Source organism: Homo sapiens, chromosome 7, assembly GCF_000001405.40.
Source record: "Homo sapiens chromosome 7, GRCh38.p14 Primary Assembly".
Taxonomy (NCBI): domain Eukaryota; kingdom Metazoa; phylum Chordata; class Mammalia; order Primates; family Hominidae; genus Homo; species Homo sapiens.
The window spans coordinates 7,328,913-7,354,519 of NC_000007.14; the positions used below are offsets into that span (position 1 = coordinate 7,328,913).

Below are 25,607 nucleotides of genomic sequence, written 5' to 3' on the forward strand. Positions count from 1 at the left end.
ACCCTCAAAAAGCCTGTAGTGGGAGAAGAATGTGCAAATGATTGCAGTGGTGTGGGGTTTCTGCTCAGGTGTTTGATAGAACAGTAGAGGAAGTAAAATTTAATAAGCTTATTAGCATATAGGTGGTGCTTGCATACACAAGCCCTGTTTGGGCTGCACATACCCTCATTGTACAATGGTTAGAAGTATGATTTCCCCAGGAGCTGAGTCTAAGGGCATGTGACCATAAAGGTTTATAAACAAACTCATCATCTCAACCCCGTCGCCCCCGTATACACTCAGCTGAATTAGTTTAGTCTCTCAGTAACATGTGTTGCCCAAGGAGATGAAATTTACCTCAATGGCAACTTCTCTTTATGTCTGCTTAAAACTTTACATTTCTCTTCTAGCATTTTGTTCATTAAACTCCAGATTTTAAAATAGACTCTATAGGTACATCTGTAGTTGATGGAGCTGAGTCTGAGGATGGAGTGGACAAGAGTGCTGACCTGTGTCACTGAGACCAAAGCAAAGCCTCTTTTCTCACAGCACCATGGGGATGTGATTATACAGCTCTGGCACTAGCTCCTCAGAGCCAGCAAGGTATTAAACAAGCCCAGACTTTTCACTAAGCCTTTGTCCCCCAGGCACTGCTGAGAAACCACTGCCAACAGGAATTGAATTCTAGGAACCAGCATGCCAAGAAACACACCTCCTGGAATTTTGAGCATTTGACGGAGGTCTGGCAAGCCCTCCTTCTTCTTATTGATATTAGTAGTAGGGAGGGGGCAGAGGGGCTTGTGGATAGAGACTGGAAATTTTCAAAGATGTCCAGTTCTAGACCACAGATAGCATCTTCTGTTTTTAGAACTGAGAGCCAATACCATCAATGGAATAAGGAAAGTTATTATTGGTTTTGCCCCTTCCAGATTTAAGAGGGTCCTGTCCTCTTCCAACCCAAAAGCCTCCTGCCACTTCTCTTTTTTTCTTTGCTCCCAGGTATGAGCCCCATTTATTGTCTCAGGCCAAGATACAAAGGTGGAGAAATCCTGCATTCTGCCCAAAGTGTGAAGGGCTCTGTGTTGTAGATGGTGCTGCTGTCAGTGGGCTGCTTCATGTTCTTGACCCACATGAAAGAATTTGAGAGTGAGTCCAAAGTAAAAGCAGGCAAAGACATTTATTGCAAAGCGAAAGGACACTCTGCAAGCCAGGTCAAACTGGGTTCCTTGAGAATAAGACAGTCCCCTCTGACATTAGGAAATCTCATTTATGGAAAGCTTATGTGATTATTCATAAGAGGGTGGGAATGAGCCTGGCTGTTGGCTTAAGCATGTTGCAGGTGGTCTCCTGGGCGTGCATGTGCAATGCTATCACATATATGGCATGTCTTCTTATTAGCATCTTAATTCTCTACCCAGGAGTGTGTTTTTTACTATTATAATGAGCACAGGTCATGGACACTAATCATGGTCAAGGACACTAATCATGGGTTTCTGTGCTTGTGCATAATTTGGGGATTTTCCCTTCTGCTCTTCGTCCTGTCTGCTGCAGGATGTCCTAACCAAAGCTGCAGATGCCGTTTCTGCACTCTCAAGCGGTTTGTTTTCTCCACCTGTTTGGCAAGTTTGTTTCCCTTCAAGTGACTCTATGACCATCTTATCTAACCTATCTCTGTGCCAGATATGTCTGTAATTCCTCTCTGAAATATTGGAGGAAGGAAACAGAACTAAGTTTCTCGATTATCCACTTCACATGCTTAAAATTCCAGTGCGCCATTAGATCCTAGAATGGTTCAGAGTGAGAGTTCCAGAGAAAATGGAATAATTAAGCAGCAAAGCCCAGGCATATACCATTTAATAAAGCTACAAAAAATCCTGAGATTCTGAAAGTAGAAGAAAAACATTTGGCATAAGACTTATTCTCCTGCTTTTTAAAATGATCCTCACATTTTCAATATATTCTGAAATTAAATGTTTCATTCCACTTAAATGACTTCTGCATATTAACCATCAGTCTGGGGCAAATTTTGTGTTTCTTTTCTTATGTTTTATCCTCCCAGCTCCTGAGAGCAATTACATTGGCTCAAGTATTTGAAAAATCACTCAAATTAAGGAATTGCAGTCCCTCCTATTCTTCAGTAGGCAAATAAGAAATATAGGATCAGATCCATCTCTCCCCATAGGCACATCTCATGGGAATCATAATCAGAAGGATGCTTCCGGAGTCTTTAATCTGAGCAAGGGGTCCTGGTGGGGTGATGGAAGTGTCCACTGGCGTCAGTCTGTGACAGCCTGATGTCTCTGTCCACAGCAGGGATGAATCTGGACACCAGATGGGGCTGTGACCTGGTATGCCCCATCCTCCTCTGCCAGAACAGGATGGGTGCCACCATGTGCAGTTTTAAAGTAAACTGAAAACCAGTTAGTTTTACAGATATTTGAGAATTGTGAATTATCTCTTGAATCAACATAATTTTGCAAAGCCATAGTTAATAGGATTGAGTTGCTGCACAAGTGCTTCTCAGTGGTCCGGAATCAACTTGTGTCCAAAATGCTGCTTGATGTTGATGCAGGAGGCAGCATTTCATTAGGCCAGAAGGAAATGCTGCAGGTGGTATCATGTATATGTAGATTTAAATCATAAGAATTAGAGAAAGATGAAGTAGGAAAAATTGATATGGGAAAAAACAGAATTAGAAGGAGGTGAGAGGCAGGGGAGGGAAGCAAATACGTCTTTTAAGAGGATCTGTTTTTGCTGGAGGTATAAATTGCCTCCCAAAACTATGCCTGTGACCACAGGTTCCTGACAACCGGTTAGGCAACACAAGCATCTGAGTGGAGAAACAAGCCATGCGTCCTAATCTGAGATTAACTGAACAGTAATCCCTTGGGCAAGTTGCTTACTTTCTGTGTATTTTTCATCCATAATCCCAAGATAACAAATATTTGCAACGTAGAATGAAAATAAAGATCAAACTTTGTGGCTCACCATGATGGTATCCAGCCAAAATTACTAGTTGTTATTTTCTCAGCTCCATTCTTTCTTCTCCTTTTTTCTTTCCCATTAGGTATTGAAAACTACCCATTTATTTTTCTTAGTAACACCAAAAACTTAATTTCAAATTGGAGTCAGCCCCTAAAGCAAGCCAACCAATAACCAACTAAATACACCAAAATTGTTCAGAATATGTCATAACATTCACTTGTGAATTTCTTCAGGCTCAAGCATTTTGGTCAAAGAATTCGGAAGTAAATTATATTAATAAGTACTATGTCCTAGGTTATATATCCACAGCCTGGCTTGGATTTAGTCCAACCTTGCTAGATAGGTGTTACTTATCTCATTTCACAGATAAAGAAAGCATTTTGGTGGGCTTAATGGCCTGCATTCTTATTGCTAGTAAATGTGGAATTGTGATCCAAACTCACATCTGTCTAACTTGAACCTCCTTCCTGTGTCAAACCTTCTTCCCTTAATGCCTGATACCACTTCCCAATGGGGAGGAGTATTCTTTGAAGAATCGATTTGGGAACTTCCTTAGAAAAATGTAATAACTTCCAGTAAACTTGCTCTGCAGACACATGTATTATATGATTAACAGGTTGGACTGTCTAGTTATGCAATCTAGGGCAAATTTCTTAACTGCACCTAAGTTTCCTCATCTGTAAATTTAGGTTAATAATGGTAACCTCACAACAACAAATGAAGCAATAAAACAGAAGAGAATATTCAGAAATATTCTACCCATGTCGGCTCACCTCTTTTGGGACAGTCACTTCAATAAATGGGACTCAGTTAACTGGATAGCAATATGGAAAAAAAATCACTTAATCTCTACTTTACACCATACCTCAAAGTCAATTCCAAATGGATTGAAGATTTAAATATGAAATACAAAGCAATAAAGTTTTTAACAAGAAAAATATTTAATACCTTAGAATAAGCAAATATTTCTGATTTCTTATTTATTTTATATTTCGGGGTACATGTGCTTGCTTGTTACATGAGAATGTTGTGTACTGGTGGGGATTGGGCTTCTAATATACCCATTAGCCACGTAGTGAACATTGTACCCAATAGGGAATTTTTCAACCCTCATTTCCCTCCCACGCTCCTCACTTTTGGAGTCACTAGGTCTATTGTTTTCATCTTTATGTCCATGTGTACCCATTGTTTAGCTCTCACTTATAAGTGAGAACCTGTGGTATTTGGTTTTCTGTTTCTGAGTTAGGATAATTGCCTTAAACTCTAACTATGTTGCTGCAAAGGACATAACTTCATTCTTTTTATGGCTGCAGAGTATTCCATGGTGTATATATAGCACATATTCTTTATCCAGTCAGCTATCGATGGACACGTAAGTTGATTCCGTGACTTTGCTATTGTGAATAATGTAATGATGAACATAAGAGTACAGGTGCCTTTTTGATATAATAATTTCTTTTCCTTTGGGTAGATACCCAGTAGTGGATTTTTAGTTCTTTGAGAAATCTCCATATTTTTTCCATGGGGATGAACTATTTTATATTCCCACCAACAATGTATAAGTATTTCCTTTTCTCTGCATCCACGTCAGCATCTGTTGTTTTTTGACTTTTTAGTAATAACCATTCTGACTGGCGTAAGATGATATCTCATTGTGGTTTTCATTTGCATTTCTCTTACGGTTAGTGATGTTGAACTTTTTTTATATTTGTTGGCTTCTTTTAAGCAAACATTTCTTTTTTTTCCAACTTTTATTTCAGGTTCTGGGGTACATGTGCAGGTTTGTTACATGGAAAAATTGCATAAAATGACAAATGATCCTGTCGTGCAGGTAGTGAGCATAGTACCCAATAGTTTTCCAACCCTTGCCCCCCTCCCTACCTCCCTGCTCTAGTAGTCCACCGGTCTGTTGTTTTCATCTTCGTGTCTGTATGTATTCAATCTGTACTCAATCTGCAGCTCCCACTTAGAAGTGAGAACATGTGGTATTTGGTTTTCTGTTCCTGTGTCAATTCACTAAGAGGATGGCCTCCATCTGCATCCATGTTTCTATAAACAATAAGATTTCATTCTTTTTTATGGCTGCATAGTATTCATGGTATACATGTATCACATTTTCTTTATCCAGTCCATCACTGATGGGCACCTAAGTTGATTCCTTCTTTGCTATTGGGAATAGTGCTGGGATGAACTTGCAAGTGCACATGTCTTTTTGGTAGAACGATTTTTTAAAATATATACCCAGTAATGGGGTTGCTGGGTTGAATGGGAGTTCTGTTTTAAGTTCTTTGAGAAATCTCCAAACTGCTTTCTATAGTGGGTGAACTAATTTACATTACCATCAATAGTGTATAAGCATTCCCTTTTCTCTGTAACCTCACCAATGTCTGCTGTTTTTTGACTTTTTCATAATAGCCATTCTGACTGGCTACTGGTGTGAGATGGTATCTCATTGTGGTTTTGCTTGTAAGCAAAGATTTCTTATTCTTAAACAGAAGAGGAAAGTGCTATAATACAGGAAAAAACTGACAAATCGCTCTATAACATAAATAAGACTATAAGATTAAGATCATGAAAGGCATTATTAACAGACTGAACAGGTAATCCACAGAATAGAAGAGGATTTTTGCAATATATATATAACTGTTTCAAATCCAAAGTCTATAGCACTGTTTAAAAGCATACTGTTATGAAAATTAAATAAATTAAGGCAAGTTTAGAGTAGGATTTGGCACATAATATGCATTCACTCGGTATGTGCTATTATTATTATTACTAATCAGAACAAAAGTCTAGGACCCTCCTGTTTTGAATTTCTGTTATACTGCCAGCCTTTGTGTGTCAGGTTTTTGGTTTGGAAAACATAATCCTATAGTAATGAGGCACCAGGAAGGCAAATCTGTAGCCTGGAATTCAAAATACAGGATTGATTTAACGACAGGATTTGTTTTCCTGATTTAAAAACAAGAAAAATAACATGTTTTCCCAATATTTCAGTAATTTATTATTGCTACCAACCTCTATGTGCTGATAAGGCATAAAGTAAGGAGTTATGTTAAAATCTGAATTCAGCTCAAAGAGCAAAGCGTAAGGACCTCATGCCTACTCCTGCATCCTTTCCATTGGCATCACCAACATCTCCCAGTTCTCTTGGCCCTATAGGACCTCCAAGCCCCACAGAACCCGCCATCCAGGAGGCTCTTCCATGAGGCCTCACTCTCAAGCCAGTCTGAGGCTGACTCCTTTCAGAGGCACCAGAGTCTCCCCATACACTTTATATTTGATATATCCTAAGTATCTCTGGAAGGAGGACCTTTAAGTTCTCATATCCACCAAAGGTCTTCGAGGACTGATTCTCTTACAGTCTTGCAGTCCCCATAAGCCATCTCCTATTATCAGCACCCTCTGCCCCAAGTACTTCCTTAACTCAAATGACTTCCATTTCTATGTGAAAACTCCTCCAGAATGCTACCTTGTTGAGCTCATGATCACTCTTTCCTCTTCAACTACCCACTCTCATGGCCTTGCCTTAAACATTGTCATCACCCGATGAGCAACTGTTCCTCTGAAGTAATAAATTTAGGCATCCCACTCTTAAACCACAGGCTCATGTTCTTCCAATTGTCTATTACTCATCCAACCCAAATTTATATATTAAAGTCCTAAGTCCTAGTACCTCAGAATATGACTATATTTGGAGATAAGACCTTTAAAGAAGTAAATTAAGGTAAAATAAGGTCACACGGGTAGGTCCTAATCCAATATGATGGGTGTCCTTATAAGAAGAGGAGATTAGGACATAGACGTGTGTGTACGGAGAGACTGTGTGAGGACACAGTGATAAGACAGCCCTCCCAGCCAAAGAGAGGCACCTTAGAAGAAGGTAAACCTGTTGACCCTTGGTCTTGAATTTCTGGCATCCAGAATTTTCAGAAAATAAATTTCTGTTGTTTAAACCACCCATTCTGTAGTATTTGTTACAGCAGACTTAGCAAACTAATGCAACCACCTTCCATAGTTCCTTCTCTTTCAGTCTGATTTGTGTTCCATGATGCATGCACCACTCTTTCTGCTTTCTTGTTCCATCATCCTTCCAGTTTGCTGGCCTGGCAAAATCTCAACCTCACATGAACATAACATTTGATCTTGTCTAGGCCTGCATTTAAGCAGCTGAATGTGGTTGGAGAAAATTACAACAGCATGTTAGCTGATGAAACGTTAAAGTCATACGTGAAATCTCAACCAGGCATGCTACTTCCCTGGTTAGGTTTCTTTCCATATCCATAGACATCCTACCTTTCCTCCTCTTCTCTTGCTCTTGACAAATTATCTTGCCTCCTTCTCAATGAAAAAGGAGCCATCAGACAACAACTTACTCCACCTCTTACCATCAAATCAACACACGGCTCTGCTCTACACCCATCTTCCACTTTTGCTGTAGATCATATGCTTTCCCTCTACCTCAGGAACTTCCTTCTTTTGATGATCCCCTCTGTCCCATATCTTCAACCTCTTCCTCTATGCAACTCCTTCTGAGGATCATTTAAATATAAGCAAGTCTATTTCAATAAAATCAAATATAAAATCTAACCTTCATTCCATGTAGTACATTGATTGCAAAAAATGGCCCCAATTTTTTTCTTTTTTAAATAATTTCAACTTTTATTTTTTATTTTTAATTTTCGTGGGGACATAGTAGGTGTATATATTTATGAGGTACATGAGATATTTTGATACAGGCATACAATGTGTAATAATTACACCAGGGTAAATGAGTTATCCTCAACTTTTATTTTGGATTCAGGGGGTATATGTGCAGGTTTGTTAGATGGGTATGTTGTGTGATGCCGAGGTTTCACATATGAATGATTCTGTCACTCAGGTAGTGAGCATAGTACCCAATAGGTAGTATCTTACCCCTCGGCCCCTCCCCACCCATGCTAGGAGTCCCCAGTGTCTATTGTTCCCATCTTTATGTCCATATGTACCCAATGTTTAGCTCCCATTTCCAAGGAAGAACATGCGGTATTTGGTTTTCTGTTCCTATATTAATTTGCTTAGGGTGATGGCCTCTAGCTACATCCATGCTTCTGCCAAGGACATGACATGCTTCTGCCAAGGACATGATTTTGTTCTTTTTATGGCTTCATTGTATTCTGTGGTATAATGTATCACATTTTCTTTATCCAGTCCACTGTAGATGGACACCTAATCGATTCCATGTCTTTGCTATTGTGAATAGTGCTGCAATGAACATACGAGTGCATGTGTCTTTTTTATACAGTGATTTATTTACCTTTGGATATATATCTAATAATGGAACTGCTGAGTCAAATGGTAGTTCTGTTTTAATTCCTTGAGAATGGAATTGCTGAGTCAAATGGTAGTTCTGTTTTAGTTCCTTGAGAAATCACAGTGGTTGAACTGATTTACATTTCCACCAGCAGTGTATAAGCATTCCTTTTCTTCATAGCTTCACCAGCATCTGTTGTTTTTTGTCATTTTAATAATAGCTATTCTGACTTGTGTGAGATGGTATCTCATTAAAGTTTTGATTTGCATTTCTCTGATGATCAGTGATGTTGAGCATTTTTTCAAATGTTTGTTGACCACATGTATGCCTTCTTTTGAGAAGTGTCTGTTCATTTCCTTTGCCCATTTTTTAACTTGTTTTTTGCTTTTTAAGTTCCTTATAGATTCTGGATATTAGAACTTTGTTAGATACATAGTTTGCAAGTATTTTCTCCCATTCTGTAGGTTTCTGTTTACTCTGTTAATGGTTTATTTTGATGGGCAGAAGCTCTTTAATTAGGTCCCATTGTCAATTTTCATTTTTGTTGCAATTGCTTTTGAGGACTTAGTCATAAATTCTTTGCCAAGGCCAATGTCCAGAATGGTCTTTCCTCAGTTTTCTTCTAGGATTTTTATAGTTTGAGGTCTTACATTTAAATCTATCTTGAGTTAATTTTTATATATGGTGAAAGGTAAGGGTCCAGTTTTATTCTTCTGCATATTCTTCAGTTTTATTCTTCTGGCTAGCACCAGAAGAACTGGCATTATTCAAGCACCATTTATTGAATATGGAGTCCTTTCCCCATGGCTTATTTTTGTTGATTTTGTTGAAGATCAGATGGTTGTAGGTGTGTGGCTTTATTTCTAGATTCTCTACTCTGTTCCATTGGTCTATGTATCTGTTTTTGTACGAGTACAATGCTATTTAGGTTACTGTAGCCTTATAGTAGTTTCAAGTCTGGTAATGTGATGCCTCCAGCTTTGCTCTTCTTGCTTAGGATTGCTATGGCTATTCAGGCTCTCTTTTTGTTTGTTTGTTTCATATGAATTAGTTTTTTCTAATTATGTGAAAAATGATGTTGGTAGTTTGGCGGCAATCTGTAGATAGCTCTGGGCAGTATGGTCGTTTTAGCAATATTAATTCTTTTAATCCATTAGCATGGAATATTTTTCCATTTCTTTGTGTCATCTCTGCTTTCTGTCAGCACTGTTTTGTCGTTCTCCTTGTAAAGATCTTTCTGCTCCTTTGTTAGATGTATTCCTAGGTATTTTATTCTTTGTAGCTATTGTAAATAGGATTGTGTTCTTGATTTGGCTCTCAGCTTGAATATTATTGGTGTATAGAACCGCTACTGATTTTTACACATTTATTTTGTATCCTGAAACTTTACTGAAGATGTTTATCAGGTCTAAGAGCCTTTTGGTGGAGTCTTTAGGGGTTTCTAGGTATCATATCTCAGTGAAGAAAGATAATTTGACCTCTTCTTTTCTTATTTGGATGCCTTTTACTTCCTTCTCTTGCCTGACTGCTCTAGCTAGGACTTTCCTTATTCTTTACATCTACTTATGTGCTTTACAGTGAGACTGTGTAGTTTCTCCTACCAAGAGGTCAATCCCCTTCTCTTTAAGCTGAATTTTGGCTGACTTTGTGACTTGCTTTGGCCAGCAGGCTGTGACAGGGTGATATGCCAATTCATGATGAGGCCTCAAGAGATATTGCAGACTTCTGCTCTTTCTTAGAACCCTGCCATTGCCTTGTGAACTAGCATGCTGGATTATGAGAGAAACATGGCCCAGTTACCTGAAACACCCAAGCCAATAAAAAAATCAACTTCCAAAACTCTGAGTAGGCTCATCCTAGATTAGCCAGTTCTAAGCCGACTCCAAATGCACGAGTGAGCACAGCCAGGCTCAGACTGACAGAAACAACCAACTCATTCGTAGATATTTGAGTGATAATAAATGCTGATTGTTTTAAACCACTGAGTTTTGAAGCCATTTGTTATACAGCAATAGCTGATACACCCCATGTCTACTTTCATCGAATCCAATCTTTTGCCTCTTAATTCCCAGCTAAATTAATTGAAATAACATACTACTCTTGGTCTCTTCACTTCTTTACTTCCTATTCACTCCCTTAAGTATCCTAGTCTTGCACCAGCCCTAACACTCCTCTAAGACTGTTTTTGCTAAGGTCTCTGTATCTGTCCTGTTGTTCAATTAAGTAGACACTTTTGATATAAACCTTACCAAACCTTTTAGTAGCATTATCAAAATTGACTCTCCTGTTTTGGCTTTCGTGCTGAGGCAGAATACTGTTCTGACTCTCAAGTCACTCCCTCTGGGGATCCTCGGCAGACTTCTCTTTGATTTTCAATGCTCTGCCATTACTTTACTGTTAATTGGGAAATGTGTCCTAGAGTTCTTCTCTTTCCACTTTACACACCTTTCCTGGGAGATCTCATTCATTCATTTTCTTGCATAAAACTTCTCTTTTACAATCTGATTACTATTAAAAAAGAAAAAAGGCACATTATTTAATGACCACATGAGAATCACCATGCTGTGTTGTCCACCAAATTTGACTACTTCATAGGTGGTTAAGAAATAGTACATACTGGACGAGAACATGTAAGAAAATTAAATAAATTCTTCTGGGCTTGATAAAATTAGGTAGACTTTTAGGTCATACAAATTGTTTCTACATGATGATCAGGACTAGAAATAACATTTGTTTATTTCATGAAAGTCTGAATGTAGTTAAGAGAAATAACTTGAAAATCCTGCACAAATGTTGATTTGATAGTCCTTACATTATTGTTTTTGTTTTTGTTTTCATTGAGACAAGGTCTCACTCTATTTCCCAGGCTGGAGTACAATGGTGTGATCTCGGCTCACTCCAACCTCTGCCTCTCAGATTCAAGCGGTTCTCCTGCCTCAGCCTCTGGAGTAGCTGGTATTACAGGTGCACACCACCACGCCCAGCTAATTTTTTGTATTTTTAGTAGAGACAGGTTTCACCATGGTAGCATGAGCTACCATGCCCGGCCCATTATTATTTTTTGGTAATACAAGTTTTAAAAATTATCCATCCCAATATTTTTGAAAACCATATCAAGAAAACTCCTGTTTGAACTTTCCAGTGTTCCTGGTGAAGTCAATTGTGCTAGAGTACATAGGAAAACCTGCTAACCTGGCCCAGGTCAGGAGTGTGCTCTCATCTGAATGAAATTCTTGGGACTACTTAACATTGTTATTATTGATGTCTAAACTTTCCAGCTCACTGTGTCAAGATTTTCTTGATCCTTTCCCATACATGACAGCCTCTTCAGTGAGCTCCTTGGCTTTCCTGAAAATGTAACCTCTTAGCAGGGAATGATGCGGCCGTAGGCAATTAGCTCAATGACTCCTCACTGGCTGCCTTATTAATGATTTGCACTTAGACCAAGCACTTTGTACTAGGAATTGCCATTTCCCATCTTTTTTTTTCCCCCTAAGCAAGATCTTGATTCATCTCTAATCTGTGTTTTTTATACTTATACCTGCATTACTGCCGGGGTACTTTCGGGCTCACCTTGACATACAGACGACATATCCTTTCTCTGAGGCCATCTATAATCATTTGCAAACTCTGGGGAAAAGAAAAAAATGTACATTTGCACACCAACTGGGCATAACCTCTTACCTTGGTAAATATACCTTTATAATGACTAGGAAGACCTGGTTTGAATTTAGAATTCTTAGACTCTTCAGAGTTCCATCCAAATGCAGCCACATGGGGAGAGATGACCCCAGCTCCAGGCTAAGGTCCAAGCCCTTCTCTTTTCTACCACATTCTGTACTTACCCATACAGAGCCATGTGCATGCATAGGTAGACAGTCATCACCTCTGTGTGCTGTCCACAATCCTTGCAACACTGCCATTTGGCCACTTAAGGCCAGAACAGGCTCTGGAAACAAGCTTCAGACCATTTCAACAGAAATTATACGACTCCAGACACCCAGTGTATGATGTAGAAGGAGGATATAATTATTTGTGCCCGATCTCTTTTTTTCCTCTGCTCAGCATCACCAGAGATGTGTCAATTTTATTAGTCTTTTCAAAGAGTCAACTTCACTGATCATATCTATTCATGTTTTCTATTTCATTGAATTATGTTATTTTCAATTTACTTTTTAGAATTATTTTTGCTGATGCTTTTATCATCTCATTATTTTCTTTTTTAAAATGTATTTCCCTTTTTAAATTTTTTAGAGACAAGGTCTTGCTCTGTTGCCCAGGCTGGAGTGCGTTGGCATGATCATGGCTCACTGCAGCCTCAGCCTCGAACTTCTAGGCTCAAGTGATCCTCCCATCTTAGCCTCCGGAGTAGCCAGGACTACAGGTGTGTGCCACCACACCTGACTTCTTATTAATTTTCAGCCTTTTTTGCTATTATACAGTTTTACCACTTAAACTATCCTTTTAAGCACTCCTTCAATTATCTCTCTCTAGGTATGTAGTATTGATTTTCTAATTTGTATTTGAATTTTTAATGACTCATGAATATTTTAGAAATGTGTTTCTTCATTTATATATGAGGATATTTTAGTGAACTTTTTGTTGATTTCTAGTTTAACTACATTGTTGTCAGAGAAAATGCTTTGCCTTTGAAATTTGTTGAACTTGCTTTTTATGGACCAGTATATGGTCCATAAATATTTACATTTTGTAAATATTTCATTTATACATGAAGAGAATATATATTCTGCAGCTGTTAGGCACAGTGTTCAATATACTTCCATTTCATCAAATTACTTAATCATGTTATCCAAATATTCTATTGCCTTAAAGATTTGTGTGTGTTATTCTTTCAGTTACAAAGACAGAAATCTCCCACTGTGATTTTGGCTCCGCCTATTTCTCCTTATAGTTCAGTCCCTTTCACTTTATATCTTTTGAGGTTATGTTATTAGATACATACAAGTTTAAATTATTATATCTTCTTGGTGAATCAAGACTTTTATCATTATGAAGTGAAATCTCTATCTCCAATAATGCTCTTTTGCCTTCGTATCACTTTGTCTGACTTCAATATAACTACACCAACATTCATTTGGTTCGTATTAGCATGTTGTATTTTGTCCATATTTTTATTTTTACTCTTCCTGTTTGCCTGTTTTAGATTTGTCTCTGGTAAAAGAATGTATAGTTAGATATTTTTATCCAATCTATTACTCTTTGCCTCTTAATTGCAATGCTTGGTCTGAATACATTTAATATAATTATGAATACGTTTTGGTTTAAATCCAACATTTTGTGTTGGGCTTTTTATTTATCTGATAGGACTAACATTTTGTTTTGCTTACTTTCTTTTTTTAGATTAATTACTTTTATCTTTTTCCTTTCTTTTTCCATCTACTAGATTTGAAGCTATGTCCTCTGTTTCTATTCTTGTATTGCTTTTCCTAGAAATTCCACATGCATATTTCACATATCAAAGTCTAAAGTTAACCAACATCTTCATCTTCAGACCAGAACATTAGAATATCTTACCTCCTTTTACTCACTTTGGATTTATACATTACCATTGTTTTGCATTTTAATTCTTTTTAAAACATCATATTATGATTATTAATATTATTTGGGCAATGTTCATTTATTTTTACATACATATTTATCAATTTGTTTGTCCCTTAATTTTTCAGGTTTTCCACTGGGAATCATTTTCCTTCTGCCTAAAGAATCCTTTTTTTTATATAACTTATTTAGAGTTTTCTAGAGTTGACCTCACTCTTTTTCATCAGTAAATGCCTATTTCACCCTCATACCAGGAAATACAATTCTAGGTGGGCAATTACTTTCTTCCAAAACATGAAAGATACTCCTTCACTGTCCTTTAGTTTCCACTGATTTTATTAAGAAGCCAGTTGTACATCTAACCGCTCCTTCTTAGAGGTAATCTCTGTCTGATTTTAAAATTTGGTCTCGTCTTTAGTATTCTGTAGTTTCATATTATATATATATATAAGTGTAGATTTTTCAAATTTATCCTACTTAAGATTCACTGGGATTCTTGAACTTTTAAATTGATATCTTTTATCAGTTCTGAAAAATTTCACATGGTATCACCTTTTTAAAATTGTCTATGCCTCATGCCCCCTTTTTTCCTTCTCAATCTAAAATTCCAATTAATCTCAGACTGCTCACTCTAACTTCCATGTCTCTTAACTTTTCCTTTATATTTTTAATCTCTTCATCTTTTTCCTTGCTGCGTGCTAGACAAGGTCTTCTGAATGATTTTCCAGTTTTCTCTCTTCCACTGCACATAATCGGCTGTTAATTTATGTGTTACTTATTTTAAAATCAATTTCATGGGGTATAATGTACACATAAAAAAATGCACTCACTTCAAGTACGTAGTTTATATAAGTTTTGGCAAATAAAGATGCAGAATATTATAATATATGTGAGTACGTCCATTCCAGCTTTGTTATGCTTATTCTTTGCCTTGTATATTTTTCTCATCTTTTTACTCTGAACATATTTCTCTTTCTATATTTAAAGTGCATTTATGGGCCAACTGCTGTGATTCATGCCTATAATCCCAGCATTTTGGGAAGCCAAGGAGAGAGTATAGTTTGAGGCCAGGAGTTTGAGACTAGCCTGAGCAACATAGTGAGACTTGATCTCTACAAAAAAATCAAAAATTAGTTGGACATGGTGGTACATGCCTGTAGTCTCAGTTACTCGGGAGGCTGAGGTGGGAGGATAGCTTGAGCCCTGGAGTTTGGAGGCTGCAATGTGCTATATTGTACTACTGCCTCCAGCTGGGTGACAGAGTGAGACCCTATCTTAAAATAAAAATAAAAAAAAAAATAAAGGTGCAGGTGCATTTCTTAATTTCTTACATTCATGTTTCTTACATTACATATAGTTTAGTCTTGCCTTTTAAAATCCAGCCTGACATTCTCTGTCTTATGATTATTTAGTCTACTTGTATTTAATGTAGTTATCTATAAGTTTGAATGTATGATTGTCCTTTTACTATTTATGTTCTTATTATTCTCATTTTGTAGAGACAGGGTCTGGATTGTAAGTGGGAGCCACTGCACCTGGCCTATTGTCTCATTATTTGTCTTGTCTGGTTTTTGTTCATTTTTTTTCTTCTTTTCCTGCCTCCTTTTGTATTAATGAAGTAATTTTTAGTGTGCCAGGGTAATCCTCTAATGGCTTTTTAGTTATATTTCTTTGTATTATTTTTTAATAGTTGGTCTAGTGATTATAATATGCATTTTTAGTTTATCTCAACCTACTTATAGTTAAGATTGAATTACTTCAGATAAAAAACAGAAAATTTGCAACAATATAGTTTCATTTACCTCCATCCACTTTCTTTGTGCTATTTTGTCATATATCTATATAGATTTAAATTCCAAAATTACAGAGAAATAATTTTTGTATTGTTTCACATCATCTGTCTTTTAAATGCATTAAGAAAAGTAAGAGAATTTTTTTCTAAAATGTGAGAAATTAGCATCTAGTGGGTAGAAGCTAGGGATGAGGCTAAACATCCTATAATACACAAGACATTCCCCCCAGCAACAAAGAATTACGCAACCAAAATGTCAACAGCAACAAGGCTAAGAAACCCTGCATTAAACTGCTGCAATCTGCTGGAAGGCTGAACGCTTTTTTCTGACAAACCTGTCAATACATCATTTAGATGCTCCTTTTCATTTTTAGTCAGATATAATCAGATTAGGCAAAATTGAGTTATTACAGCGCAAGATCAAATTGCAGGTGCACAACCAAAAGAAAATGGACAGGAGAAATGAGTTTGGCCAAGAAATACACATACACACACACACACACCCCTTTCGCCTGAAGAGGTGTCTGTGTGTTGGCGGGGGTGGGGGGCGTTCTCTTTTGTGTGATATACTTGCTGAATTTGCAAAAGCAGCACCATATTATGTTATTTTATTAACAACCCCTTAATAAAGTAACTAGAAACAGCAAAATAAAATAAAATGTGAGAAATCAGAAAATGGAAAAGCTCTACCTATTAAAAGTTACATGATGTTGTTTGTATTGAGAGAAAAATAAAAGTTTCTCATGATGGAAGCAGAAACTTTAAAAAAAAAGCATACAGAATATAATGGAAACCTATTCAAGGCTTTTAATATGTTCATTATTATCTTGTGTTTGGTGGCTCAGGAAATCAAATTATAAAATCCAAGATCCTGTACTACTTGTATATTATTTTTACCTACATAGTTACCATTTCTGGTGTTCTTCGTTCCTTCCAGTAGATCCAAATTACCATCTGGTATAATTTTCCTTTAGGTAAAAAACTTCCTATACCATTTTTTATAGTACCTATCTACTGGAAAATAATTACCTTCAGTTTTTGTTTTTTTGTGTCTTTTTTTAAAATCTTCATTTTAAAAGAACAGTTTCACTGGTATCAAATTCCATCTTGACAGGTATTTGTCATTCAGCATTTTGAAAATGTGAAAATGTCTTCCAGTCTCCATTGTTTTTTTACAAGAAGTCAGTTGATAATCACATTTGTTGGTCCCCTGGATGTAATGTGTCATTTTTCTTTTTGTTGCTTCTCAGATTTTCTGTTCATTCTTGGCTTTTAGCAGCTTGACAATGATGTGGCTATGTATGTTTTGGTGTTTTGGTTTTTGTTTATTTAGCATATTCACCCTGCTTGAGATTCTTAGCTCCTTGGTTGACTTAATGTTTTTCATCTAATTTGAGATTATCTCTCTGTTTTCACATATAGACTATTTTTCATCATCCACAAGCTCCTTGATGTCCCTTTGCAGTCATTATTTTTTTGGTAGAAGGGTACCCTATTAAACTCCTCATTTCATGTGATCCTGAGCTTTAAATTTTGCCTTTTTTATATTCAGAAGCTACTAAAACTAAAGTTTAAGACATTCTGAAATAACAAGTATTTGGTGGCAAAATCAGCTCTAGTGTTCTACTATTTGCTCTAATTTCCCATTTTCCCTTAGATTTTAGCCTTGGAACCCCTTAATATCTCATTAGCTAGTTTTAATCATTTTTTTTTTAAGATTTCAGAGATCTTTTAAGAAATGTATTCAACTTTCTTCAAGAAATTAGTTGTTTTCAGCATAAGGATTTGCCCAAATAAAGTAGTCCTGCATATCGCTAGGAATAGAAGTCTCTAATTTTAAACAGATTCAAAATGTGTGTATTAATAAGAATCTATATTTACTAAAGTACTCATTCTAAACATTCTCTCTAAAATGAAGATAATCTAGAGAATTAGAAAAGCCCTCCCTCTTAAAGGCAATACAATGTTGTTTGAATTAGAATGAAAATAAAGATTTCTCCCATTGTGGAAGTAGCAACTAAAGAAAACATACAGAAAATACCAGAAAATGACTCAAGCCCTTTAATATGTTCATGTCTATTTTATATTATAGTTGATGGTTCAGGAAATCAAATGATACCATTGAATTTCCTATAGTCATTGATCTGAGAGATCTTTTTCAAAATAAAATAATGAAAAATTCATTCATTTTGGAAACTCATTTAAGCTCAAGGTAAAACAAAAATAAGCTGAAGGAGGGGCAGTATTTGTACTAGGAAAAGGGCTTAAGAAAGATATTCATTAATTTGAACTAAGTTCTGGGAAAAGGAAGATAGCAAATATATCACGAGAAAAACTTTCCAAATTGTTATGCCAACATTCCACTTAAAAATTATTTGCCAGAGCCTTTTGATACTGGAAGGATAAGTATTATCTATAGGGTCAAGTTTCAAAGCTTTATTATCTTAAGATATTTAAAATTATTTTTCTTTATCAAACCAGATAAATCAATTGCAACATTATTTTAGCAGACATGAATTAAGAAACCTGACTTTCATTTCTTAATACCAGAAGGCTTTTTTCCATGGAGTGATGGATCTTGATTCAGATGAATTATAATGTCCACACTAGCAAAAAAAACAATGTATATGAGCTTTCAATTAGTATTTGGCCATACCAGGCAGTGTAAGGAAATGACTGATCTCCTTCTTGTCCCTGGTGCATGAGCCCTGACTTAAAATACCTGTTACAGCCTCCTTTGAATGACACAGCTCCCTTTGTCATTAAGCAAATCAATTCTTTCCCAGTGGGTGGGTTAATATAATTGCAAGCCTCTAAATACCCAGAACATAGCTCTTTCTTCTTATGTCTATTCTAAGAAAAATGGCTGTTCATATTTTATTGCTATATTTCTAAAAATGTTCTCAGTCTCTAAGTGGCTCCAAGAAAGGGGAATACTGCAGTGTCCAACCTAAGCAGTTCCTCTCTCTTCTGGCTACCTCCTTTTTGCACCAGCATTTCAGTCATTTCTCTCAGCCCAACTTCACTGCCCCAGGTTGCAGTTAGTTAACATCTTATTTGTGCTGTTAGTAAATACCACTGGAGCAAAACCATTTGGGAGTCAAACAAAAGGGAGCCATTTCTGGGGCAAAGATGAGGAAGACTTTATCAAAGATATTTTAACTAAATCTTATATAGTCTGTAGGAGACTGCCATGTGGAGAAGAGACAGAGGAAACAGCAGGTACAAAGACACAAAGGCAAAAATACCAAAAACAAGCCCAACCTAATATGTTTGGGATTATTAAGCGAAGGCTGGAGCTGAAACATAAGGTGTGGAGGGGATGCTGAAACAGGATGAAGGCTGGATTGTGAAAGGCATTATCAGCCCTGGTAAGGAAGTTGAGCCTCCTCATGTAGGCAATGGGGGAGGGGGGTAATATTTTAATCTGATATGTATCTTAGGAAGAATATTTCTAATGATTCTATGAGGCATTAATTGGCATGGCAACTAATAAAACTAAGGAGAACATTTAAAAATAGCAGAAGTCAACATATAGAGGAGGAAATAGATTTGAGAGATTTCTGAGGTCTAATTGACAGGACTCAGTGAGTTATAGAAAGGGGGAGGATGATAACAGCTGAAGGTAAGCTTGGGAAATTGGATACATTTTGATGCCGTTAACTAAGACGAGGACAATGAGAGTAAAGTTGGAGTTCAGAAGGACTTGCAAGTATCATTGGAGCGATTCTAGCTGCTCTATGAGTTACGTAGTGTAAGGGGGAGGTGAAGAGCTCCATCCATCTCTCAAAACTCCAGCTTCTCCCCTTAAGATTAGGAGATGCTAATATGATAATCAGATTCAGGTCACCAAAGGAGACACATTTACCCCTAGGTAGGGGCAGTGTCAATTAAAATGCCAAGCTCATAAGAGATCTCCAGTCTCTGGTGAGTTCTAGCACACTCTCACTCGCTCACTCTCCCTCTCCCTCTCCTCCTACAAGATACTTTTAAAAACATTTAAAAGCTTTATTGAGCTATAAATGACACACAATAAACTGCATATATTTAAAGCGTACAATTTAAGAAGTTTTGACATGTATATATCTATTTATTTTCTGCTTCCTATTTCATTAGTTTCTGCTCTTTTTTTTTTATTATTCGCTCTTCTTTTCTCATTTCTTAAGGTGGACGCTTAAGTCATTGATTTGAGACCTTTCTTCTTTTCTAGTAGACATTTGGTGCTATAAATTTCCTTCTAAGTACTGCTTTAGCAGTATCCCGCAATATTTTTTAAGAGTGGCACAATCATAGTCCACTGCAGACTTGAACTCCTGGGCTCAGGTGAGCCTTCTGTCTCAGCTTCTCCAGTAGCTAGAACTACAAGCACCTGCCGCCACACCCAGATAATTTTTTAAATTATTTTTTTAGAGATGGCATCCCACTATGTTGCCCAGGCTACTCTTGAGCTCCTGGTCTCAAGCAATCCTCCCTCCTCAGACTCCTAAATAGCTGAGATTATAGGCATGAGCCACTGTACCCAGCTACTAATTTTGATATGTTGTGTCCTTCTTTTCAATCAATTCAAAACATTTTAAAATTTCCTCTATGGTTTATTTTTTGACATATGGACCTTAAAGTAGTCTATATAGTTTAGAAATATTTAAGAGTTTTCCAAATATATTGTTTATAATTGATTTCTATTTTAAATCCATTGTGATAAGAGAACATACTTTGTATGATTTGAATTCTTTTAAGTTTATTAGCACCTATTTACGGCCCAGAATACGTAGTCTATCCAATACTTCATGAATCTTGAGGTTTTCCAGTCTGGCTGGTGTGACAAGCACTATTTCTATCCCAGTATTAGCACCTGCTCCCTCTAATCCTTTCAGTTGGTTCTGTTACTGGCTTTGGGTAGTTTCCTCACTTGCATGCACCCCTCAGTACTTAGCTGAATGCTCAAGGTGAACCCTCTGCAGATCTCCTAAGTTTTCTTTCTGTGAAATTCCTTTCTTTACAGTACTCTTCCTTCAGAATTCTAGCTGCCTTAGTCTTCCTGGACTCCAGTATTTTCCCGTCCATCCTGGAAAACTGCCAGGCTCTGACTTGGTGTCCCCTTTCTGTGCTATGGCCTGGAAACTCTCTCAAAGCAGTAAGCTGGGGCCATCACAGGGCTCACCTCACTTTCTTTCCTGCCTCTCAGGGATCACTGCTCTTCCTTGCCTGATTTTGCAAAGCATCTTTTCATATATTTTATCTGTTTTTGGTTGTTTCAGGCATGAGAGAGAATTTGGTCCCTGTTACTTCTTGGTAAGTAAGGAAGTAAAGAAGAGAAAGAAAATGCGAGGTAGGGAGAGAGTAAGGGAGGGAGTGAAGAAGGGAAAATTCCAAAGGGAAATGAATAGTGCTCTCAAAAAGAAGCAAATAGTTCAGTGTAGCTGAATTGAAGAACAAATTTAAGGACATGGAGAGAGATAACCTGGAAATATAAGTGACAGAGAGGTCCTGAAAAACCTTGAATATGATGCTAAAAGGTTTGCCCTTTATCTTAAAGAATATGGAGGGCCCTTAACGCATTTGAAGGAGGAAAATAATTGGATCAGAATTACTGTAACTCCACAGTACTGGGCAGATAAAGATTGGAGAAGAGGAGGCCAATTTGGAAGCCAGGTGCAATGACAGTCTCAGGGTGGAGAGGAACAGGAAGAAGTAAGATAGACCAGACCCACTGAGCAATTGGATATGAGGAGTGAGGGAGATGAAAGGTTCAGGGATGTTTCTCAGAGGCCAGCTGCAGTCATTGGCTGGGTGACTGTGCCATTCACAGAGAGATGGAATACAGGGACTCCTGGTGTACAGTGGAGGTGGAGAGTGAGACAAGACATATGTAATAGACTTGGCCTCTAATCTTTAGTATAAGGAAAGCTAAGATAATGCTCCAAAATTTGAAGAAGCACAATTTTAGTCAATCTCACTGTGTTTGTCAACCTTTTCTAATAGTAAAACACATAATACCTCAGAGGCAAAGTCTATACCAATTCCAATATTTATTTCTTAGAAGATTAAAGATGAGATAATTACTTAAAGGCAAGAGTTGTTTTTGTTTTGTTTCATTTTCCAGCAGGGAGATGTTCTGTTTTTTGTTTTCTTTCCTTTTTTTTTTTTTTTTTTTAAAACCGCTGAAGGCAAGTCTCAGCAGTGATTTATTCTTAACGGAATCAGTTTGAGAAAAATCCCAAGTTGCAGATACTGGCAAACCATAGCACTCCTTATTAAGACGTACAAAAAAAAAGTATCCAAATGATACTTTGGCATAATACCAACAGATATGCCAAGAAGGAAATAACTGGAACATTCCATTAGCATTTACAAATAATGTCAAGAAACTGAGTGTGAAGTTTAAGGGCAAATTTGAAGGGTGGTGAAAATAAAATTTAAGCTTCTAGTCGATTTCAGAGAAAAATAGAGAAAGTCTTTGCTGTTTATGCAATCCACAAGTCTCAATTTACTTATTGATTTAGAATTCTGACTATGTAATTTCTCAGTTTTGTTCTACTGCCAAACTAGAGGGATATTTTGTCTTTTATTGACGTGGAAACCATCTGAGGTGGAATCCATAAGAGTATAAGAATTAGAAGAAGGAACATTCTGGTTTGTTCTTCTCCCCCACTTTAGTCACCGAAAACATCCTTACAAGCCAGAGGGCACGCTCAGAATTAGAGGATAGGATGGTAAAAGAGCCATGGAAACAGGAGAAGCTGCAGCAGCAGCCAGAATGAGAAAGGATATATTGACTGTCTTACAATAATAACACAATTATTATGATTGGCTTTACAAGGTCAGAGTAGGAGGCCAGAAGCCACAGAAGACATCCAGCTCCAATTACAGCAACAGAAGGCAGTGTTGTCTAAGAATGAGCTGCCCTTGGCAGAGATAATAACCTTCCTGAAACCCCAAGAATGCCCAGTTGCTTGGGGTGTTTGTCTAAAGGTTACAATAGCAATAGAGGGGACATAGGATTGGAAGACTCCAAGATTTCTTGGTAATTCTAAGAGCCCATATTTTCTTAACTTGATTAAAACAGGCTTTAGGGATTCCTAATTTTTGGAGTCTGATGTGACTTTAAATGAATTAGTTCATTTAAATGAAAGATTTTTTCAAAAATTACTAATTTATGTAAAATGATGAGTACATATAGACATTAAATCAGTCCAATATTTTAAAAATTAAAAAAACAAAATGTCATGTGTGTGTGTATGTGTGTGTATGAGTGAGTGTGACATATGACTTGGGGCTATAAACCAAAAATAAAATTCCAAGGCCCCCCTCTACCATCTGAATGGACACTCCTCTCAGTCAAGGGCATTCCAAAGTTAACCTGAAAAACTAGTTCAGGCCATCATGGGAAGAGGGAGCCATACTTGTCTCATTCTACTCTCTTTCCTTTTGGAATTACTGATAGAACACACTCTTTAAGTCTGAAAGGAAATATTTACAATCTATTCTCTCTGAAGCCTGCTACCTGGAGACTTCATCTGCATGACAAAACCTTGGTCTCCACAACCCTCACTCATTGATATATCCCTTCTCTCTTAGTCTCCTTTTAAACTAGTGTGGGTTGTTTTTTGGTTTGTTTGTTTTCTGATCTTTTTCTATTCCCGTCTTGCAAGTAGCTCATTATTTCTGTAATGACTTTTATACAATGAGTTCAATTTTTAATTTATTGAGTTCTTCTTAAATGTAAGGAACTAGGGATACAAAGATAAACAAGGCATGTCTTCGCTCTTAAGTAGCTCAAAGAGCAGGCAGAGGACACAGCTGTTGTGGCAGATTGAATAATGGCCCCAGAGATGTCTGCTCCCCAATCTCTCCTGTATATATGCTACCTTACATGGCAAAAGGGACTTTGTAGATGTAACTAAACTGAAGGACTTTGAGGTAGCAAGATTATTCTGGATTATTCAGGTGAGCCCAATCTAATCACATGAGTCCTTAAAAGGAGAAAATCTTTTCCAGCTCTGCTCAGAAAACCAGAAGGATGGCAGAATGTGAAGGACCCAACATGCTGTTGCTGGCTTTAAAAATAGAGGAACTATGCGCCAAGGAATGTGGGTGGCCTTTAGATGTTGGAAAAGACAAGGAAATGAATTATCCCTCAGATCCTCCAGAAGAAACACAGCCCTATGGACACTTTGATTTTAGCCCAGTGAGACCTTCATCAGACTTCTGACCTACAAAATTATAACATAACACATTGTTGTTGTTTAAGCCACCAAATCTGTAGTAATTTGTTATAGCAGCAAAAGGAAATTAATGCAGATGTGCCTCAACTAAGAGCAAAGTAGCTCAGCCTGACGTCAGTGTGCAGAATGGAGGCATAAGCCAAGGGCTTTGGGTCCTTAGTGTTGGGAGTGAGTGGACCACGTAAGGGAAAGGAAAAAAATCTCGGGACCTCCCCAAATTCTTATGCAAAAGGAAAGGTGAAGCCTGGGGCTGAGTCACTGTATTACTCTCTTCCAAATGAATAGCTGTTACATTGTGCATCAGCCAGATCCCCATGGAAAAGTAAAAGGCATTAGGTACCTGGAGAGCACTGCCCCCAACAGATCATTCATAGGTAAATCCTTTCCTGGCCTCCCACAAACAAGGACATGCCAGTTGTAACTATAGGTCTACAATCCAAGTCTAGTTCCTAAACTGAAGTCTGTTCAATTCCACACTGATAACATTGATTACAAGTTTATCTTCCCAGGTGCAGAACAAAGACAAGAGATCAATCTTTCCTCCACCTACCCAGAGACATCTACATAATTGGCTCTTGCTTCACTCTCTTTTTCTCTTCAGACCTTCAACTTGTCTTGTGTAAAATGTAGATCTACTGGGCACTAATGAAAGACACACAGGAATATAACTATTTGCCTTTCTGCCTAGCTGCCCCTCTTCCTGCATGCCTTCCCCACTTTACAGAAATGTATAAATACTAAACCTTCTGAAAGCCTCTTCAAATGGGTGTTTTCCCTGGATTTGCCCTAAAGTTGGCTTAATAAACCTCGATCATTGAGACCTGTGCCTCAGCCACTCATTTTGGTTGCCACTCAATTGGTAGAGATGAGAGGGTACCACAAAGAAAGAGGCCTTCAGGTTGTCCTTGCAGTATTAAGATGTGGTCAGTCAGGGAAGAAGGAGAAGGACACTGCAGACAAAGGGACAAACACCCAAGTCAACATTTACAACATGCTTCCATATCAGTTTTCTATGTGGGCAAAATTGTGAAAAGCTTGAACAAGAAATGTAAGTACTTTTTCTCCCGTCAAAATAGCAGCCTAGATACTCTAAAGGGTCCTTCTACTTTCCAACAACAATATAGTGACTGATACCTATGTTTTAATGCACTGTGGGCATCCAGGAAATGAGAAAATACCCATAGCTCTCCATCCTACAACAAAAAATATGGTAAAGGCTATTTCTATAACTCATACCCATTTTCATGCGGAGGACAACTAAAGAAGATAAAGGAGAAAAAAAAATTTTTTTTTTTTGAGATGGGGTCTTGGTGTCACTCTGACTGCAACCTTGACCTCTTGGACTCAAGTGATCCTCCCACCTCAGGCTCCCAAGTAGCTGGGACTACAGGCACCCATCATGATGTATGGCTAATTTTTTAAATTTTTTGTAGAGATGGAGTTTTCCCATGTTGCCCAGGCTGGTCTGAAACTTCTGGGCTCAAGCGATCTGCCCACCTTAACCTCCCAAAGTGCTGCGATTACAGGCATGAGCCACCGCACCTGGCCAAAAAAAATTTATTTTAAGCACCTAGAAATTACCAATGTTACTGGAAAAGGGGTGTCAACCCAGACCACAGGAGCAGGTTCACAGATTGTGTGCAGTAAAGAATTCAGGGCAAGTATCAAAGTATAGTGAAATTAAGATAGTTTATTAGAGGCTACTCTTATTACAGAGTAGGGTGTCCTCAAAAAGCAACAGGAGGAACGCCCCTACCTAAAACTTAATACTTGC

The 25,607-nt window shown here is 37.5% G+C and overlaps 1 protein-coding gene and 1 long non-coding RNA gene across 2 annotated transcripts in view; one reads left to right on the top strand and one right to left on the bottom strand.

Annotated features, from left to right (window-relative positions):
- LOC107986764 (uncharacterized) overlaps positions 1-25,607 on the top strand; it is a 106,009-nt gene that overhangs the window by 57,509 nt on the left and 22,893 nt on the right. The gene's annotated exons all lie outside the window — the stretch shown is intronic.
- The window catches only part of COL28A1 (collagen type XXVIII alpha 1 chain), a 205,677-nt gene continuing 189,351 nt past the window's right edge, over positions 9,282-25,607 (bottom strand). The window contains exons 36-37 of the transcript XR_926936.4: positions 11,831-11,887; positions 9,282-10,765 (exon numbers count right to left, since the gene is read on the bottom strand). The gene's annotated coding sequence lies outside the window, so the exon portion shown is untranslated. The remainder of the gene's footprint in view (positions 10,766-11,830; positions 11,888-25,607) is intronic.